At 41.3% G+C, this 21,333-nt stretch overlaps 1 protein-coding gene and 1 long non-coding RNA gene across 5 annotated transcripts in view, besides 1 other annotated feature; both read right to left on the bottom strand.

Annotated features, from left to right (window-relative positions):
- SHISA9 (shisa family member 9) overlaps positions 1–21,333 on the bottom strand; it is a 661,420-nt gene that overhangs the window by 248,432 nt on the left and 391,655 nt on the right. The gene's annotated exons all lie outside the window — the stretch shown is intronic.
- LOC107984137 (uncharacterized) overlaps positions 1–21,333 on the bottom strand; it is a 71,517-nt gene that overhangs the window by 3,163 nt on the left and 47,021 nt on the right. The gene's annotated exons all lie outside the window — the stretch shown is intronic.
- Positions 6,586–7,785: an enhancer, noted in NCBI's record as "P300/CBP strongly-dependent group 1 enhancer chr16:13400658-13401857 (GRCh37/hg19 assembly coordinates)". NCBI's record gives its function as "activates an origin of replication core promoter dependent on BRD2, BRD4, P300/CBP, MED14 and CDK7 cofactors, with strong dependence on P300/CBP, by STARR-seq in HCT116 cells {active_cell/tissue: HCT116}" and the evidence as "EXISTENCE:reporter gene assay evidence [ECO:0000049][PMID:35650434]".

Raw genomic sequence — 21,333 nt, 5'->3', positions numbered from 1 at the left:
TATATCAATTATACCTCACTAAAGCTGTTAAAAATAAAATGAAATAGGCTGGGCGTGGTGGTTCATGACTGTAATCCCAGCACTTTGAGAGACCGAGGTGGGAGGATCACCAAAGGTCAGGAGTTTGAGACCAGCCTGGCCAACACGGTGAAACCCTGTCTCTACTAAAAATACTACTACTACTACTACTAATAGTAATAATAAATTAGCTGGGCATGGTGGCAGATGCCTGTAATCCCAGCTACTCGGGAGGCTGAGGCAGGAGAATTGGTTGAACCCGGGAGGCGGAGGTTTCAGTCAGCTGAGATCGTGCCATTGCACTCCAGCCTGGGAGACAAGAGTGAAACTGCATCTCAAAAAAAAATAAAAAAATAAAAAAAAATGAAATAAAAATGAAAGAATAAGGAGTTGCTCCCAGTGCATAATGAATTGCTTTAGAATTAATCCTAAAGTGCAAGAGAAAGAAGGAAGCTTGGAGATCACCTAGCTCAACCTTCCCTTTGCAGTAGAAGAGAAGAGGCTGGGAACCCACCCATGAGGTACAGCTTATTGTTAGCAGAGCAAAAGCAAAATCCCACGACCTCTGACTCCCAGCCAAACCTTCCTTTTTGATACCTATCTAACACAGAGAGTATAGAAAACTGAACCAAAGAGCTACCATTCAAGTCTTTTAATGTGTAATTTCTTTTGGCATTATAAAAGTAATGCAATTCTGCTATAGAAAATTGGGGAAATACAGAAATGAAGAAGGTTGTGACAAAAAATAAAATGATCCTGTTTCCCACCATCCAGAGAGCTGTAGATAATTTGGCATTTCCCTATGCATAGCATTTTGCTTATTTTCTTTTTCATTTTTATATACTTGCTAAAGTTCTGTGTATACAATTTGTTACAAGCCTTTCCACTTCAATTAGAAATATTTTTCTATGTTATTACAGACTATTCATAAACAATGTTTCCTTTTCAATAGTGAAATGCAATAGTTCCCTCCCCTATTTCCACACACACCACCCTCCTCATCTAGTCATATCCCCTTGGGAACCACTTTTTAAGCATTTTCATTTGAAGTTTCTCTGTTACCTCCATATGGCTAAATAACATGTGACTTCTAGATGTCTCTACTTCAGGAATTATCTGTTGATTTCCTGCTATGATGGTTGGGAGTTGGGTTCATTTCTACCACCATCTCCAAACACATATTTTCTCCTGCCTCTTCTCCCAAGTTATGCCTTTATTTTTAAATTCCTTTCTTGATTACCATTATACTATAAATAACATATCTAAACCTTGATTTCCCTATTTATAAAACTGGGTTTTTTTTTTTTTTTTTTGAGACGGAGTCTCGCTCTGTCGCCCAGGCTGGAGTGCAGTGGCGGGATCTCGGCTCACTGCAAGCTCCGCCTCCCGGGTTCACGCCATTCTCCTGCCTCAGCCTCCCAAGTAGCTGGGACTACAGGCGCCCGCCACTACGCCCGGCTAATTTTTTGTATTTTTAGTAGAGACGGGGTTTCACCGTTTTAGCCGGGATGGTCTCGAACTCCTGACCTCGTGATCCGCCCGCCTCGGCCTCCCAAAGTGCTGGGATTACAGGCGTGAGCCACCGCGCCCGGCCTGGGTTTTTTTTATTTAACATTTTGTAAGGGCCTCATCTTGTTATCTTCCCTAACACTTCTCAACTTCTGTTAGCTATAATTTTTCTTTTAGTTGGTTTTGCTAATTTTTATATTCTCTCTTTAGTCCATAATTGAAACATTAGTGCTTTCTCTAGAAGTTGATCCTAAAACTTGAAAACTAGTAAAAAAAATTTACATTATTGTGAAGGATGGAAATCTGTTGAGAGCATAATATTCCATATTATGATTGTACCAGAATTTACCTAAACATTATAAATTTAGGTTGTATTTTAAGAAGCTATGAAAATTATTTGCTATTGTAATCACATTTTGATAAATATATTTGATTTTCCTTGTCTGTGTCTGCTTCTCTGATGATTTCTTTTGAAGGGATGTCCAGTAGTGGCCAGAAGGGTGCTTAATATATCATGGATTCTGAATCAATGTTTGTCAAACTAATAAATGGTCTCTACAGTTTTAAGGCTCTTAGCATATTGTAAAACTGATTTTCAGCAAGTGTTCAAGGCAGTCGTCATTCAGTGTCTGTGAAATCCATGACTGAGGGGGGGACAGGAGGATTAGTTTATATTAGTTTCAATTGATTCTTTGAAAAGTGGGAAAAAGAGTGATGCCAGAAGGGTTACAGGAGCAGTTAACAAACTACTGTCCATGGGCCACATCTGGCCCACTGTCTGTTTTTGTAAATAAAGTTTTATTGAAACAAGACCACACCCATTTGCTTATAAATTTTCCATGCCTGCTTTCATGCTACAGCAGCACACTTGGGGCATTGTGCAAACACCACAGGACCCATAAAGCCTAAAATATTTGCTATCTGACCCTTTACAGAAATATTAGTAGACTTCTGGGCTAAAATATTTTGAAGAATAAGCCTAAAGTTGGTATACACTGGTTTTAAAACCAAGTGAGTCAGTTAGATTGTCCCCCTCTCTTCCTGGACATCCTTCCTGAAAGCCACTGGGCATACACTTTTCTCAGGAGAAAAATAATAAACTGTTGTATAATTTTAATATGTTACAGGCAGGGTTCTAAGTGCTTTACCTATTTTAGTTCATTTAATTTTCACAGCAATCCTATAGTTACTATTATTATCTATCTCGTTTTTACATATAAGGAAGTTGACTTGCACAAAATCGTAACTGGTAAGTAGTAGAGGAAGGAATCACGCTTGGAAGTGGAAATTCAGGGTCTGTGTTCCTACCTGCCACATAACACTGCCTCCTAAGAGAAATGAGAGAAGGAACCAACGAGAACAATCTCCATTTATTTGAAAGCGAAGTAAATACAGATAGTCTGGAGTGGACATTGTATGTCATCCCAGCTCACAATCACCCTCTGTAGTTGCTGCCTTAATCCACAAAGGTAGTCTTCTAGTAGCACTGTGTAATCAACATTACTCAGCCCAAGCTACTTGAAACCCACCAAGGCTGGACCAATCAGAGTCTTTTCCCTCCCAGGAGTTAAAAGGAAGAGAAAACGAGTCTCTACATGGGGCTGGGCTTGAGACGTATATTTGTAAAAGCTATTTAGGGTTGGCAGAAAAAAATATTGAATTCTCATTTAAGCTTATATTTCTAATAAACAATGAAATATTTTTAGTGTAAATACACCCAGTTATTGCGTAGGATGAACACTAAAAATCTTTATTCTTTAGCGGAAATTTAAATGTAATCAAGCATCAAACACATATATACGAGATACATAATATATAAAATATATATGTATCTATAAAGTTTTTGCTAAACCTGGTAGCCTTATGAATGTCTTTGTTTTGGAGAAATCTTGCATGAAGAGCAAGAAGAATCAGGCAGACAGAGAAGCAGAAACGAGAGACAGAGTATCTTCTAGGCCCTGCAATCCCTTTTTGCATTCTCACTCTTGGGTTTTACATGGACTCCTGCTTACAACCTGAAATCATCCTTAGAAGATAGTCCTTCAGTAGAAGATGTGAATGTTAAAGCATAAAATCAGGCCGGGTGTGGTGGCTCACGCCTGTAATACCAGCACGTTGGGAGGCCGAGGTGGGTGGATCACGAGGTCAAGAGATTGAGACCATCCTGGCCAACAGGATGAAACCCCGTCTCTACTAAAAATACAAAAATTAGCTGTGAATGGTGGCAGGCCCCTGTAGTCCCAGCTGCTTGAGAGGCTGAGGCAGGAGAATTGCTTGGACCTGGGAGGCCGAGGTTGCAGTGGGCCGAGATTGCACCACTGCACTCCAGCCTGGTGACAGAGCAAGACTCCGTCTCAAAAAAAAAAAAAAAAAAGCATAAAAATCAATGACATTAATTATAATGCAGTGGAGAATTTAGACCAAACATTCACATTTCTAATTTTTTGCTAAAAGTCCTTCAAGATAGAGGATTTCAGTAGACACATGATTCAACATGATGGCTTTTATTTCATCCTAACCTTATTGACTTAGAATGCCCCTATTAAATAATCACACCTCTAGGAATGATAACGTAAAAATCAAGATAGCAATTCTGTAGGTTGAGAGTGGGATAAGGCAGAGGAGGAACACACAAAGACCTTCAAATGAATTCATGGGGTTTATTTCTTAAACTATGTGATAAATATCTGGATGTTCACTAAACTGTTCTTTAAACATTTTTTATGTCCTAAATGTTTCATAGTAGAAAAAAAAAAGCAGCTTTTTAAAAGCCCACCTCCAGTCCTTGAATTCAGTTATAACTGTAACACGAGTTGAATGGAAAAGCTTAAAATTTGTTTTCTCTTGATTTGGCATTTAAAATACAGAACAGGCCGGGAGCAGTGGCTCACGCCTGTAATCCCAGCACTATGGGAGGCCGAGGCAGGTGGATCACCTGAGGTCAGCAGTTCAAGACCAGCCTGGCCAACATGGTGAAACCCCATCTCTACTAAAAATATAAAAATTAGCCAGGTATGGTGGCGCATTCTTGTAATCCCACCTACTTTGAGGGCTGAGGCAGGAGAATCACTTGAACTTGGGAGGCAGAGGTTGCAGTGAGCCGAGATCGTGCCATTGCACTCCAGCCTGGGCAACAAGAGTGAGACTCTGTCTCAAAATAAATAAATAAATAAATAAATAGATAAGTAAATAAATAAATAAAATACAGAACTTGGATTTTGTTTGGAGTTTTTTGTTTGTTTGTTGTTTTAGGTTTGGTCTAGTGTTCCCAAGAGTGTGGTCATGACCCATTATCTAGAATCTTAGCTTTCTAAGCACTGAGAACAGCACCTCACAAATCATAAAAGAGTTAAAAATATATCCCTCTGGCATGTTAACTATTTTTTCTCCAACTTTCTTTTTTTTTTTTTTTTTTTGAGACTGAGTCTCTCTCTGTCACCCAGGCTGGAGTACAGTGGCGTGATCTCGGCTCACTGCAACCTCCACCTCCCGGGTTCAAGTGATCGTCATGCCTCAGCCTCCCAAGTAGCTGGGATTACAGGTGTGTGCCACCACACCTAGCTGATTTTTGTATTTTTAGTAGAGATGGGGTTTCACCATATTGGCCAGGGTGGTCTCAAACTTCTGACCTCGGGTGATCTACCCACCTCGGCCTCCCAAAGTGGTGGGATTACAGGTGTGAGTCACTGCGCCCGGCCTCAACTTTTATTTTAAGTTCCAGGGTACATGTGCAGGATGTGCAGGTTTGCTACACGGGTAAACGTGTGCTATGGTGGTTTGCTGCACAGATCAACTCATCACCTAAGTATTAAGCCCAGCATCCATTAGTTATTCTTCCTGATGCCCTCCCTAGCCCCAACATTACCCCCTGGCCCCCCAGCATATTAACTATTTATTAAGTTAAAGGCACTTGAAAAAACCGCAGGTGCAAGAAGACCACATTGACCTTTATGCTGTTTCTTTAAAGCAGAAAACAAAATTCCCATATTAAAGACACTCTTCCTATACTGGAAAAAAAGGCAAGAGAGACCAAGAGAATATGGTATAGACCTTGTTAGAGAAACTCTTATCTTTTAAGCCTCCCCACATAATGTAGTTGTTTCTTCATAACTAACTATTCTTTGTCCAATCCAGTACATAAATAACTCATTCTGTTTATTCATGTCATCATTTCTTTATGGAGGCTCCTGTGCCACATAAAACTTATTTTATGCTTTTACCCTGTTCACCTATCTTATGGCGATTTAATTATTTGACCCAGTTGGAACCCTAAGAGGATGGTGGTGGGATTTTTCCATCCCTATAATATTAAATGTTCAATCTATATTGAATCAATGGATGACAACAACATAAATTCACAGCTGTAAGTTATGTCTTGTATTGAGTCTTCTTTCATCTTCACACACACACCTTGTCCCCCATCATGAACATGGAGATACTAAGAGTTATGGTGGGAGTGGGATAGAATTGGAGGGAGGGAATTTGAAGATTACCGTCATTGGGATACTTAGGATCTCTTTGGTCCAGAATATTTGTCTGAGACCCATGCTCATGGGGACACTCTGGCTAACATTGTCTCCATCTATTTTCCTGCCTAAATAATCTACCTTGAATAATGCAACCTCAGGACCCTCAGTGCCATGGTTATGAGAGACAGAGAAAGACCAGAGGCCACTACCATGGGTGCCAGTCTCTTGTCCTACCATTCCACTTCAACTAACAATGCCATTTGAAATTTATATGGTGCTTTTCATCCACATTGTCACTCATACACACCAGACAAGCTTCTTTCCAAGGGGATGAGCCTGGAACAAAGATTACTTTGATGAACATAAAAAAAAAAAAGCTCCTACAATTTGATGTCGTGTGCGTTAGAAAGTCCCAGAACATTGTATTCTCTTTTCTTACTGTCCTATTACTCATGTGGTGCCTCCAAATAATTATTTTCTGAGAGGATCTCAGCATTCCAGATGTACTTTGAATGTCATAAAAGAGCAAGGGAGACATGAGCATTAGATGTGGAATGAGGCAAGAACAGAAAACAAATTTTCCCTGGTCTGTAACATATGGCACTCAGAATATATGCGGTGAGATTTGTGAACGCAAGTTCATTTTGGTAACAGTGAAATCCAACACTAATTGCTGGAAGGACCGTTAATCATCCTCACCTAATCATGGAAATGAACACATCTAAATTTTCCTGAAAATCCCACTCATTGGGTAGATGAAAAAGATGGTCTTTTTTAAAGGCAAAAAGTTTAAAAGTTACCTTCATAAAGGAGCAAAACCTACTTTTTGTTCATTTCCTCTCTATTAAACACATCTAAACAACTTATTGATTCCTATAAGGAGAAAGAATGGAAAAATTAATCATATCTACATTGAATAAGGTTTATTACATTAGAGCTGTACTTCACGCAGGTTTTGGGAAGAACTTTTGTCTGATTAGTCATTGTAATCAGGTATTTGTGGGAAGAAGTGTTAATTCCTGGAATGGACAACCAATTAGTCATGTCTACAGTCAGCATAATGGTTGGCATCAGCCCCTGTGCTTTCTGATCTCCTACAGCAGATACAGAACAGGAAGCGACCACGTGCTTCTACTAGAACAGAAAGCGTATCCCCTTTCACACCATGAGGCCCCTGTGAAACCTCATTCCTGGATGTCTGAATCCTTAAAACCTCAACCACAAGCCAGGAGGAAATAGCAGCAGAAAATACAGGGGAAGTACATGAAAGGCCACACCATTCTGGAATGCAAAATATGAAAAATAAATGACATTTAAATAATGATTGCCATGTGCCAGGCAGTGGCTTAAGTCCTGTGCACATACTAGGTGATTTAATCCTTATAACAACTCTGGGATATGTAAGTGCTATTATTCTCATTTGATAGATACTGAAACTGTGCTTTGGAGCAGTTGAACGACTTGTCCAGGTTTGTAGAGATGGATCTGGTATTCAAAACTCAAACCAGCCTGAGTCTATGCAAAGCCTATGATATTTTTATTTCTTAATACCATAGAAACATGTTTGTAACATTTTAAATGAAATAGAATAAAACTTCTGCATGCAGTGTAAACATTTCATTCATAAATATTTATTAAGTATCTACTACTATTAGACTACTAAGGTATCAGTCTAAGCACACATACATATACATAATGTGTATATATACACACATACATACGTGTATGGGTGTGTGTGTTAAGATATGGCCACAAATTTTTTATGTCACTCAATTCTAAGGGATAGGATAAAGCAGAAGTGACAGTGTATGACTTAGGAGTCTAGGTTATAAAATATCTTGCAGCTTCCTGGTTACTCTCTTGCTCTTTGATTAATGTCTTGCTCTGAAAGATGTTAGCTCCCTGGAAGATGCAGCCTGATGGAGAGGAACTGAGACCTTCAGCCAATAGCCATGTGAATCATCTTGGAAGTGGATCCTCCAGCCCCAGTCAAGCCTTTAGCTGACTGCAGCCCTGACCAATATCTTGATGGCAACTTCAGAGAGATCCTGAGCAGTTAAGCCATTCTCAGAATGCTATCATTAAGTTTTGTTGCACAATGATAACTAATATCATTATCTCTCTGTCTCTCTCTTTCTCTCTCCCTCTCTCTCCTATCAAATAGTGATCAAAGAAAGCTAAAGAACAGCAGTATGGCACATGACCGAGATCTGTTACAAAGGCTTACTGCTCTTTGCAGTCTTCTTCCTGTGATCTTTATCTTAGCTGATGGCACAACCACCACTTGTTTAACTGAACAACAACAACAAAATCCAGTCATCTTTGACTTTTTCCTGTCTCCACCCCTCCCTTCCTGCAGATTGGTTGCCAAATTATGATAACCCCATTTCCTGTATCTCAATTGGTCTTGCTTCCCATCTCTTGCCATTCCAGAGTATTCATTCATTCAAAAAACATAGTTTGCAGCATCTTCTTATGAACTCCTACTCCTACTTCAAAGCCCTGGAATCCTTCATTAATGTTGAATCTCCTCTGCCACCTCTGTACCTTGCACACACTTCTAGATTCTCACTTTAAGTGATTATCTTTCCATCCTACTAGCCCATGAGCTTCTGGAGGGCAGGGACTCTGTCTTCTCATTCCTCTCAGTCTCCCCTGTCTCTAGAAAGGGTCTAGCAAAGGATATGTATGATTTGAAATATTACTGTATTGATTGTCTATTTCCATTTAACAAATTATCCCAAAATGTTCAAACCAAACTTGTGTAATCACCTCTTTGGGCTAGCATAGGGACTTGCTCTAAAGTCCCTGCATTGTCTCCCATTTTCTGTGGGTCAGGGATCAAAGTGATCTAGTTGGGTTATTTGAGTCGGGGTCCCTCACAAGGCTGCGGTCTTCATCTCAAGATTCAAATGGAGGACAATCCACTTCCAGGTTAATGCCTGTGGCAGCTGGCAGGGCACAGCAGTTTCTCACTGGCTGGAATCATCAGTTCCTTACCACATGGACTTCCCCACCAGGCAGCTTACAACAGTGCAACTGGATTCCAGCAGAGCAAGCAAGGGAGAGTGAGAGAGACAGGGGAAGACAGGATAGAAACCAGAGTCCTTGTAGCCCATTCTCATGAGGCACATTATTCCATCAGTTTTCCTGCATTATGTTTATTAAAAGTACATTCCTAGGCTAGCCCAAGGAAGTGATTACACAAGGGCCTGAATACCTGGAGTCACAGTCATTGGAAAATTGAGCATCACTAATCCAAAGATCCAAAATTTGAAATGCTCCGAAATTTAAAACTTTTTGAGAGCTGACATCACAACACAAGTGGAACACTCCACACCTGACTTCACGTGACAGATTGTAGTAAAAACTCAGGCACACAACAAACTCAGCGTCCCCAGGGGGAAGTGAAATTATCTTTAGGCTACATGTATTAGGTGTATGTGAAACAAATGAATTTCGTGTTCAGACGTAGGCCCCATCCCCAAGATATCTCATTATGTATATGCAAATATTCTAAAATCCAAAAGAAAAAACGATTCAAAATTGAAAACACCTCTGGTCCCAAGCATTTTGGATAAGAAATATTCAACCTGAATTTTAGGATCAGCCTAGCATAGTTACGTTGACCTTGTCTGTCAGAACAGATCCAGTAATGGGTGTCCTTCACCTGCATCGTCTAAGAGCCACCTTCAGTTCTTTGTGCTATATGCCCCTCATAGAAAATAGGAGCTGACACTTCTGCCCTCTGGAAACCAATGAATGGCAGGCCTTCACTTAACTTAGTCCGTTCATTCACTTATTTGGTATTTCAGCTCTGGGTGTGTTGCTTAACCTCACTACGAATCAGTTTTCCATCTGTGAGATGGGACTAATAATAGAACTCACCTCATAAGATTGTTGCGGGAATAAAAAACACACGTAAACACTCTTAGACCTCAAAACAACACAAATTCACAATAAATGATAGCAATATTTGATCATTTCTGTCATTTTGTCCAAGGAGGCCAAGATATCTAAAAGGCAGCTTCTGGCCAGGCACAGTGGCTCACATCTGTAATCTCAACACTTTAGGAGGCCAGGGCAGGCAGATTACTTGAACCCAGGAATTCAAGACCAGCCTGGGCAACACGGCAAAACCCTCTCTACAAAAAATACAAAAATTAGCCTGGCATGGTGATGCATGTCTGTAATCACAGATACTTGGGAGGCTGAGGTGGGAGGTTCACCTGAGCCTGGGGAGATTGAGGCCACGGTGAGCCGTGATCATGCTACTACACAGCAGCCCAGGTGACAGAGTGAGACCCTTTTGCAAAAATAAAATAAAAGGCAACTTCCGTGTGATGAAGGTGGTGTAAGACTTCATTCACACAAATCCAGCCTGGAACTAGAAATTGAAAAACCATAGAGGAGAATAGTTCATTGTTGCACAAATGGGAAGCACAAAGACAGAGGTTGGAGAAATGGATGGAGAGTAAGATCCCAGAGGTAAACAAAAAAGCTGTAGTATAGTCAGAAACCAGGCTTGGAAATGGTACCTTTTGTACATTTCCTGCTTTATTATTTTTTTTTTTAATTTCCAATGGGTTTCCCTAAACAATTAATATCACCCTTTAAAAATTAAGGACAATTCAACTTTGTTATGGGACACCAGGGATATGATTCTTGTGGTCTGTGAAAAGATTAAGTCTGGGAAGAAGAAGGGAAATGCATTTATTGAGGGACAAGTGTTAAGCCACAGGGTGTGTTTGGGGTTCTACCTGCACTACGTCATCATTCTCACGCAATCATATTAAGAGAGTAATTATTCCCATTCCTTTTTTAAAAATTTGGTAAAATGCATATAGCAAAATTAACCACTTTGAAGTGAACAATTCGGTGGCATTTAGAACATTTACAATGCTGTACAGCCACCACCTCTGTATAGTTCTAAAACGTTTTCATCATCCTAAAAGGGAATCCTGCACCCTTTAAGCAGTTATTCTCCATTCTTCTCTCCCCTCCATACCCTGGCAAAAACCATTCTTTGGTCTATCTCTATAGGTTTACCTATTCTAGATGTTTTTCATAAATGGAATTGTACAATATGTGACCTTTTGTGTCTGGCTTCTTTCACTTAATATTTTCGTATAGTGTTTTCAAGGTTCCTCCACATTGGAGCATATTCTGGTATTATATTCCTTTTTATGGCTGAGCAATATTTCAATAATATTTTATATCACACAATTTATTTATCCACTTAATCATCCATTTAGCCTACTGATGTGGGCTGTTTCCTCCTTTTGCCCATTGTGAATACAGCTGTTATGAACATACATGCACATGTATTTTTTTCAGTATCTGTTTTCCTTTCTTTTGAGTATATACTTAGAAGTAGAATTGTTCCTAGTTCTCTATGTTTGACTTTTTGAGGAACTGCCTTGTATTCCCTTTTTACACATGGAGAAAATAACACAAATGCTTTAAATCTAGGCTTCTTGGGCAAAAAACAGTTATTGCCATTTTGACTGGGTCATCGTATTAGTCTGTTTCCACGCTGCTACAAAGGAATACCCGAGACTGGGTAATTTATAAAGGAAGAGGTTTAACTGACTCACAGTTTCGCATGGCTGGGGAGGCCTCAGGAAACTTATAATTATACACGTCTTACACGGCAACAGGTGAGAGAGAGCGTGTAAAGGGGGAAGAGCCCATTATAAAGCCATCAGATCTCGTCAGAACTCACTCACGATCATGAGAACAGCATGGAGGAAACCACACCCATGACCCAATTACCTCCCACCAAGTCCCTCCCTCGACACATGGGGATTATGGGGATTACAATTCAGGAGGAGATTTGGGTGGGGACACAGAGTCAAACTGTATCAGTCGTACTCGCATGAATGAAGACTACCTGGAGGAAGTGAGATTATCTAGATGGAAGTGGGCCGTGGCCATTCCTGGGGGATAGAAGACAGCATGGCTCCCTGTGAGATGCCAAAAGAAGGAAGCAGGAGTGGCACAGCTGGGATCCCCTTCTGGGAGCCTCTGGGTTTAGTTCATGGAGAGAGTCTGTATCCCATAGTCATATCATGCAGAGGGAGGTGGCTCAGTCCCATTGCAACTAAGGGCCTGATTGCAAAGAACTAAGGCCAGAGGGGCTCCATTTATTCCTCCTGGGGCATCAGGCTGGTGGCATCGTTTGCCTTTCAGAGTTAGTAAAGCTTATCTCCTCAGGTTCAGTTTTAGAACTATTTATAGGGGAGGCTTTGAGGTTCTGTCCAGCTTTCTAATATAGACGCATGCACTCACAGGCACACATACACAAGCTATGGGCTTTCTTTACTATCTAAAAATGAGGTTAATTTCCTGCCTGTGCATCTAAGTTCAATGGGGGGACAAACAAGAGGTTGTATAAATAGTTTTCTGGCTTTCCAAGTTTCCCTTTAACCACCATGACACAACTGGACCGAGAAACAAGGATCTATGTCCTATAATGTGATGAAGGAAGAAAGGACCAGTGCAGCTCATACTACCCCACTGTCTAATGCCTTCTGTCTCTGCCCTGTATCCTTTAAAATCAGTGTGTACCCCTCACTCTGGGCCCACCATTCTCTCTGCAATAGTAAAATTGCTACCCTTATCTCCATTATCTCAGTCCCCACCTTGCACCAGGCATGTACCACAAACTATCTTTCTCCTGTTCACAGTAACTCTGTGAGGTAGACAACATTAGCCTCGTTTGACATTGAGAAAAGTGACGTTCAAAGAGAATAAGTTTGGTAGAGTCAGGATTTGAGCCCAAATCTTGGCTTCATTCCAAAGCCCATGCTCCTTGCTTCTCTGTGCCTCCTCTCCTCCCAACTTCATTCATTCACTCATTGCATTCACAGAATCATTACACCCACATACCTCATACTACCAATGCCTTAATAATTTTATTTAAGTCAACTCAGTTAGGAAATTAAATACCCTTTCAAACTCCTCTCAAGCAATATTATCTATAAAACCACAGGTGCTTAGTTATAATTTTCTGCTACTAATAAAAATTAACACAGAACTATTAGAAGTTTAAAAATCTTCACCTGTGCATCACCAAATGTCTTTTTGTGCACCAGCAGCTGCATATGACTTACACTTTGGGTGACAGTACATTCGACCTCACGGTATTTCAAGTGCAGTGTTGAGGCCAGCAACAGCAGCATTATGTGGGGGCCTATTCAAAATGCAGAATCTCGTGCCTCATTCAAGACACAGTGAATCAGAAACTACATTTTAACAAGACTCTCCAAGTGGTTCTTCTGCACATTAAAGTTTTGAGAAGTGCAAACCATCACCATAGGATGTCTCAGTGTGAATCTCGTCTCCTTTCCAACCTTTTCTCCTCTGGGGGCATTTCCACCTGTCTGGCCTCAGCAGACCCAACCTCAAAGTCATCCAGGCTCTGGTGAGATGGTCGGCACCACAAATTCTCTAAGGCACTTCCACAGGGAACTCTGGGCAGACTCTTGCATACAGATTGTAGAGTTTTTAAGGAAGGGTGAATCCGCATTTTTGAAAGAAGGGAAAGACGAATTGGTGATAAAAGAATAGAAAAGAGAAGGAGTCAATATTGACAAGGAAAGAAAAGAGTCACAGGAGAGTGAAAGAGAGAAGAGAAAGAAAGAGTAAGAGAAAGAAAGAAGAAGGAGGAGGTGGGAGAGGAAGAGAGGGGAGAGACAAAGAAAGGGGAGAGGAGAGGAGAGGAGAGGAGAGGAGAGGAGAGAAGAGGGGAGGGGAGGGGGGAGATTTTATCACAGAGCCAATAAGTGCTCCATTTTGTGCACTTGGCAGAACCCACATTTCTCTGAAATGAAACCTGGTCTCTTTGAATGATTTCTCCTTGGCTTGGGGCCAGCAGGGGAGAGAGTGGAGACAAGAGTCAGTGACACAGGCACGTTTATTGATTCCAAATAGAATTCCCTGGGAGTACATCAGAATGATTTTCAGGACTCAATTGAATTGACTTTTTCTTGAAATTAAATTCGTTCATGGCAGCTCAGTTCTTCAATAATCGCCCAGTTCTGTCATAAAGGGCCTCCAATTCCCAATTAATAAATGAGACTTTGAGTAATCTGACTCCACATTTTGCTCATGGGGCAGACCATATCACAGAGTAGGTCGAGGGAAATGCAGGAATATGCACCTCTCCGATTTTTCTCCAGGAGGGCCCACCTGGATGAGCTAGTTTGGGGCTAGGAATGAGGAGAAGCAGGGTTACATTTGCAGGGAAACTCCCAAAATTGATTCTCGTTCCAGGGGAGCTGGCTTCCCTTTGCAGCTTGTTACATCATAGTATCCCACTCAGAAATGGAATGTGGGGGCGGATTGGGTCTGGGAAGTCAGTACATCTTGAAATACAGGCGTACTGGGGAGGGAAGAAGAAAGGGAAAGTGAGCGAGAGCCTGCTACTTCTAGGCTTTGTTCTTCCTGCCTCCATCACCTCTCATTCTTTCTTTTGCTTGGATCAAGGTGCAATTTTAGTCTGTCTTTCCTGGAAGAAGAAAACAGCTGGGCTACTTTGAAATAGGGGGAGTTGAACGGAAGTGGCAGTAAAACATAAGCCTAAGGAAGGCAAGGTCCCTTTGAGCAACCACACTCCTACCTGGCACTTCATGTGCACTATCTCATTGAATCCTCACAGTCACCGTCACCCTATAGAGTATGTACAACCAGTACCTGCCATTTGCAAATGAGGAAACTGAGGCACAGAGCAGTTAAAAGAGGTGCCCATGCACACGTAGCAGGGAGTGGCATAGCAAAGATTTGAACAGAGATCTGTTTATCCCCATTTCTACAGGATGGTTAAGAGCTTGGACTTTAAAGCCAATTGTCGGGTTTTTTTTGTTTTTTTTTTTTTTGACAGAGGCTCACTCTGTCGCCCAGGCTAAAGTGCAGGGGTGCAATCTCTGCTCACTGCAACCTCCGCCTCCCAGTTCAAGCAATTCTCCTGCCTCAGCCTCCCACGTAGCTGGGATTACAGGCATATACTACCACACCCGGCTAATTTTTGTATTTTTAGTACAGAGAGCGTTTCACCATGTTGGCCAGGCTGGTCTCGAACTCTTGACCTCAGGTGATCCGCCCACCTCAGCCTCCTAAAGTGCTGAGATTACAGGTATGAGCCACCGGGATTTGACTCTGAACTCTTCTGCTGCCTGCCAGCTGTGCGACTTTAAGCAAGTTACATAACGTTTCCGTGCTTCAGAATCTTCATCGGTAAAAAGGCAACAGAAATTGTACCTACTTCATTGGATTGCGAAGAGTGAAGGAGGGTCTAATTCCTGATGATCTGAAAGGTCATCTAGAGCAGTGACTGTCTGTACAAGGGAAGCGCTAATGAGTGTTTGGCAAAGGAAGTTTTACACCCTTAGCCACAAAGTAATATTCAGGGCATTAAGGAGTGAATTTGGTTGGCTGGTAACTGTGGCTTAGATAAGTGGAGAGGGATATCTAAGCTGGACTTTGCTAGATGAGCTGGAGGTCACTGGCTGCCCTTGGGAGCATCCTTCTGTAGGCCCCTTACAAGGCAGTCCTTGCCTTATCCTTGCAGCTCTGAGGAGAGCCAAGGAGACTGCTTGTTTAACCAAGTGTGTCTGGGAAAGGCTTCCAGGCACCCCATGCAGGGAGCTTCCCACTCTGCCCTTGAGCAGAACCCAGTTGTGTGCAGAAGGGAAACTACACGTGCCCTTCTGACTAACCAAGCCCTGTGGTGGCTCTGAAAGCCATAATTAGGCCAGATCTCAGCATGGGGGCCAGGATGTGTGAGAGTGAAGTTTCAAGCCCTCCTTCCTTAGGGCCTAGTTAACAGAATAAACTCTTCCAAAGGGCTGCATTTCAGGGTTTCGCCAGATGAAGTACGGCTTTGACAGGGCGAACTCTGACCTGAAACGCCCAGGCAATCCTGGAGGCAACACTGCATGGTGATGAAGAAGCTCAAGCCCTAGAGTCAGACAAAAGTGGGTTCAAATCCTGACTCCAGCACTTACCAGCTTGGTGATCCTGAGGAATGTACTTAAGCACTCTAAGCTCTGATTTCCTCCTCTACACAATAAGAACAAGATATATTGCCTACTTCTTAAGATTATTGTGATGATTGAAATGAGATAATCCATATAACACTTTTAGCACAAAGTCTGGGTGATAATCTCTTAATTATGTGAGTCATCATCGTGTTTATTATTGATAATAATATTGATATTGATAATTAGTAGAATTATGAATAATTATTAATAGAAAATTAGAGTTTCCACGGTACTTTTCCCTATAGGAGTTTGATCATCAGTTCCTTCCAGCTTAGTAGGCTCTATAAAGTCCACATCCTCTCTGAACTTCTGAACTAACTGAAAATCAGAATTAAGACCAGGAAGGTTGATGAGTTTCTATAATGAAGGGAGCATCTCTGTATTTGAACGAAGAGCAGCCGGTGTCCATGGATTGAATTGGTCACAAGAATGTATTTCCCTGCAGCCTGGCAGGTCCATGGAAGATAAGAGTTTCAGAAAGCACTGATAGCAGCTGGGCACAGTAGCTCAAGCCTGTAATCCCAGTACTTTGGGAGGCCGAGGCGGGTGGATCACCTGAGGTCAGGAGTTCGAGACCAGCCTGACCAACATGGAGAAACCCTGTCTCTACTAAAAATACAAAATTACCTGGACGTGGTGGCGCATGACTCTAATCCCAGCTACTCAAGAGGCTGAAGCAGGAGAATTGCTTGGACCTCGGAGGTAGAGGTTGCAGTGAGCCGAGATTGTGCCATTGCACTCCAGCCTGGGCAACAAGAGCAAAACTCTGCCTCAAAAGAAGAAAGAAAAAAAAAGAAAGAACGCACTGATAACTATGTCCCTGTAGAAGGGAGCACCTGAAGTTCAACTTCTTCTTTCTCTGACTGTCAAGAAGCTCAACGCCAACAACCAGACCATTCTTTTCACTATTCTTCACTTAGTCAAATCTTTTCCCGCCTAAGGGACTTTGTGTCTGCTACTCCGTTCTTGCTGGGAATCCCTTCTCCTAAATATATGCATGCTGTTTTCTCACATCACTCAGGTATCTTCCACTTTAGAGACACCACCTGCAACTGTCTCAACCCCAGGCACTCTCCATCCCATCATCTCTTTCATACTTTTCCCAAAGACTAAAGGAAACCTCAACCACAGGCTTATGTCAACCTGGTCTCAAAGGCTCCACGATCTAAGTTTGTTTCAATTTCCTAAAAAATTATATGGCCAAATTATCAACAGTCTTAAAAATATCCTTCCCTTGGGCTCAACCATGTGACCCATAGGAATAGCCTAAGGTAATAATATGAAATACAAAAGAATGATGAACAAAACCATTTATCAAGGTAGCCTTTATAGAAGTAAAAACTTGAAAATAGCCTATTCCATAAGGGAATAGATTAAAATGCTATTGAACATCAGTGTGCTGAAACATTATGCAGGCATTTCAAGTTTCTAATACCATAGGGATGCCATTAGAGTCAAATATAAATCTGGATATTAATATTTGCTTACAGTATAATTCTGAATGGGTACATGAGATAGCATTCATCAAACAGTTAAGGTATTACTGATGGAAAGAAATATGAATGGTTATTCTCTTTGTTGTTTTTGTATTTTCTAAGACATTTTTACAACGAGAAAGCATTCTCTTTTTTTTTTTTTTTTTTTTTTTTTTTTTTGAGATGGAGTTTCCCTCTTGTCACCTAGGCTGAAGTGCAAGGGCATGCTCTCAGCTCACTGCAACCTCCACCTCCCAGGTTCAAGTGATTCTCCTGCCTCAGCCTCCCAAGTAGCTGGGATTACAGGCACCCACAACCACACCCAGCTAATTTTTGTATTTTTAGTAGAGACGGAGTTTTACCATGTTGGCCAGGCTGGTCTTGAACTCCTGATCTCAAGTGATCTGTTTGCCTTGGCCTCCCAAAGTGCAATGAGCAAGTATTGTATCTATAAAAAGGGAATAATATTGCAATGTTGTAATGTATGTGAAGGGTTATTTTTTTTTTTAAGCCCCATGTTATGCCTTGTTACTAGGAATGCAACCGTCAATCCACAGACAGAATGTGGCCCTTCCACATAGAACATTTTCAACCATATTCCCAGTATTCTCGGACACAGTGAGGAAGGGATCTGTTTTTTTCCCCCCTGCGTGCTGTTCAAAAACAGCACGCACAGCAAATAACAACCCTCTAGATAATACAAATGGGTAAATATTGCCAGGATTTGTTACATAAAGTGCTAAAAAAATATAACTTGAGGATGTAACCACTTATTTTCCCACCTTCAGAAATCCCAGCATCTGTTTCTGCCAAAAAGATGGAGGGTGGGGAATGTTGCAGAGAAAAAAAAAAAACAAAAAAGCAGAAGTCTTTTCTTTCAAAGTGACAGAAGAAGAGGTGGGGTTGATAGTGAAGGAAAATATTGCATTCAATAAAAAAGATCTATCTGTTATCACTGCTGAAACCACAACAACAAGTAGGCTATGAGAGTGACAATTGAGATTAACAGAAGGACTTGGATTAAGAGACACTTTTCAGATTTGCAAGAAAGGCATGAAAAAATCCTTCCCGTTTTCTAGCTAATAGACATATACAGAGTCTGATACAGGCTCAAAAAAGGTGTATTTGTCCCACGAGGACTTGCCTTATGACTTTGGGCAATTCAAGGAAAAGCTCCGACAGAAATTTTTTTAAGTCCTCTCTGAATCAATGCTCCTTCCTTTGAATTTTCAAATTTTCTCTTTGGCACACTTCATGCATTGGTCCTCTAGAAAGGACCACTGCATTGTGTGATAAATTTTTTATCACTAGTTTTCACATCCTCTTGCCTCCTTAGGGATCTCTTTCTCCAATCCTCAAATTTTCCACAACATTATTAAATCACAGCTGGTTGGCACCTGACACATCTCTTACCTGCCTAGCCCTCTGCAGGAAATTGAACCCCCCGAGGTGAAAAGACCCCAGCTGGCCTTTCGAGCCTGATATGCAAACCAAGGCTCGTCTCCTTCCTGGGCTCCAGTTCTGATTTTCAATGCCCTCTGAAGGACGGGCCAATGTCAGGCAGTGCCTACCTGATACCCTGGGCCGATGCCAGGGCAGGAGAACTGGCCAGAGTTTCATGAAGACACTGTCAAAATTTTGAGAATTGATTTTTGAAGGATTGGTTGTGTTCAGTACTTTTCCAGAAGGGTAGGAGGCCTGGAGCCACTGAGCAGCTTCTCTGAATTCAGGCTGATAAAATCCTCCTAAGCAGACCAACTCTTTCGGTCAGATAATGGTCCCAAATAAGAGATCCACAGTCAAATTCAGCCCAGATATATTTTCCTTTGTCTACAAAATAATTTGTGTTTTATTTATTTTACTTTCTTATTAAGTGTAAAACTTGAATGGTTCAATGCAAAAGTCTGCATTTCTAATTAAAAAAAATTTGGTGATGTAGTGTCACAATTAAGAGCATGAAATCTAGAGCCAGGTTCCCTGGTTTAGAATCTCAGCTCTGTGATTGCGGACAAGGTACCAAACCTTTCTATTCCCCAGTTTTTTTAATCTGTAAAATGGCAATAATAATAATAATACCTACCACAAAAGCATATTGTAAGGGTTAAATGAATTAATGTAAGTGGAGTTTCAGAACAGTGCCTCCCACATGTAAATGTTAGAACGGTTACTGCACTATGTTGGCTATTAACTCTGGACGTGCTTTCATTCACAGTCATCCTCCCTCACTCTAGATAGGACACAATCTTTTAATTAAGCTTCCATTTAATTATGCTTCCCACTCAACTCAATTCGCTCATTGTATTTGCTGCCTGAACTCTGTAAGTATTTGAGTTTGAGACCCCTGCTCTCCAATGAAGATACAGTATTTGCCAATGTGGGCCATTTGTAAACCCATAAGGATAACAGTGCCTTGGGTAACACCTTGGAGATCTCACAGCTGCAAATATCCTGGCACCGGGAAGTCTATGCACATAACAAGTGGAATGTTATTTCTTTCCCCTGATGTGGCCATGTGACTTGATTTGGGTCATGGAATGAAGCAGAATTGATGCACTGGTTTTGAGTTGAAGCCTTAAGAGGCTTCATGTGTTTCCACTAAGAGTCTTGCACTTTCTGCATCACTATTGAGAAGGAAAAGCCCAGGCTATATGCTGGTCCAGGAAGAAGAGGAATGATACACGAAGCAGGGCTTCTTCAGCTATGGTGGCCTAACTAACTTTAACATACAGTTCCAGCTGATTTGCAGACGTATTAACAAACCCAGCAGAGATGTGCTGAACCCATCCTGGGGCAGCCAATCCTCAGGGAATCCATGGTCATGTGATATATAATAATAGATGTTATCTTAAGCCACTGAGTTTTGGGGTAGATTATTACACAGCAAACCCTAGGTGATAAACTGGCCAATGAAACCCCTTAGCATAATCCAATGACCAAGCAGGATATTGCATATGTTTCTAGGATATGTGACAATGCCATCTGTGTTAGAAATGACCAGAAGCTCTGCAATAATTGTGTGGCTTGCTTGTGTAGCTTGCTTACTTACATGATGGGGTCAAAAATTCAAGGGTTGGAGTGTTGGATAAGCCAGTGTCAGCTGGGTACCCCAACCCTTCGCACAACCAAGAACAAAACCACAACACACAGCAAGACAAAACCCAATGCCCCTCATGAATCTTCTAAGTTCCTATGGCTTATTCTCTCATAATTTTTGCCATTTCTACATCCTTAGACACACATACAACCACTAGAGTTTTTGTTTTGTTTTGCTTTGAGTGTTCATTCTGGCTGTGCAATGACAGAATGGAAAGGATGCAAATAAGAATTAAGGCAGAGCCATGGAAAAACATTATGAAACTACTGGAGGTGTCCAGGTGGAATATAATGTTGGCTTCAACTTAGACTGTAAAAGGAAATAAGTGAGGAGATTGAATAACAAAAACATTGCCAATAATAACACTTATCAGGTGCTTGTTTTGTGTCAGGAACTGTACTAGTACATTATATATATTTAATAAACAACCTTATGAAATAGGTTCTACTACTTCCTCCATTTTACAAGTTAGGCTGAGCAACTTGCCTAAGGTGGCCTGGCTTGCAAGTGGTAGATTCAAACCCAGGATGTCTACGTTTTGAGTCTGGGCTCTCAACCACTGCACGATTCTGCCACTGCATTATTTAAGAGCTTTGCAGATGGTACAACAAACATGACTTAATGGTTGACTAGCCATAGGGAGCAAAGAACATGGAGTTCAAAACACTTAAAAAACCAACGTGGTCTTCTCATTTTTTCAAGGGAAAAGTAAGGGTGTGTGTGTG

Source organism: Homo sapiens, chromosome 16 (genome assembly GCF_000001405.40).
Source record: "Homo sapiens chromosome 16, GRCh38.p14 Primary Assembly".
In the NCBI taxonomy this organism is placed as follows: domain Eukaryota; kingdom Metazoa; phylum Chordata; class Mammalia; order Primates; family Hominidae; genus Homo; species Homo sapiens.
This window is presented reverse-complemented; position numbering and strand designations above follow the sequence as displayed.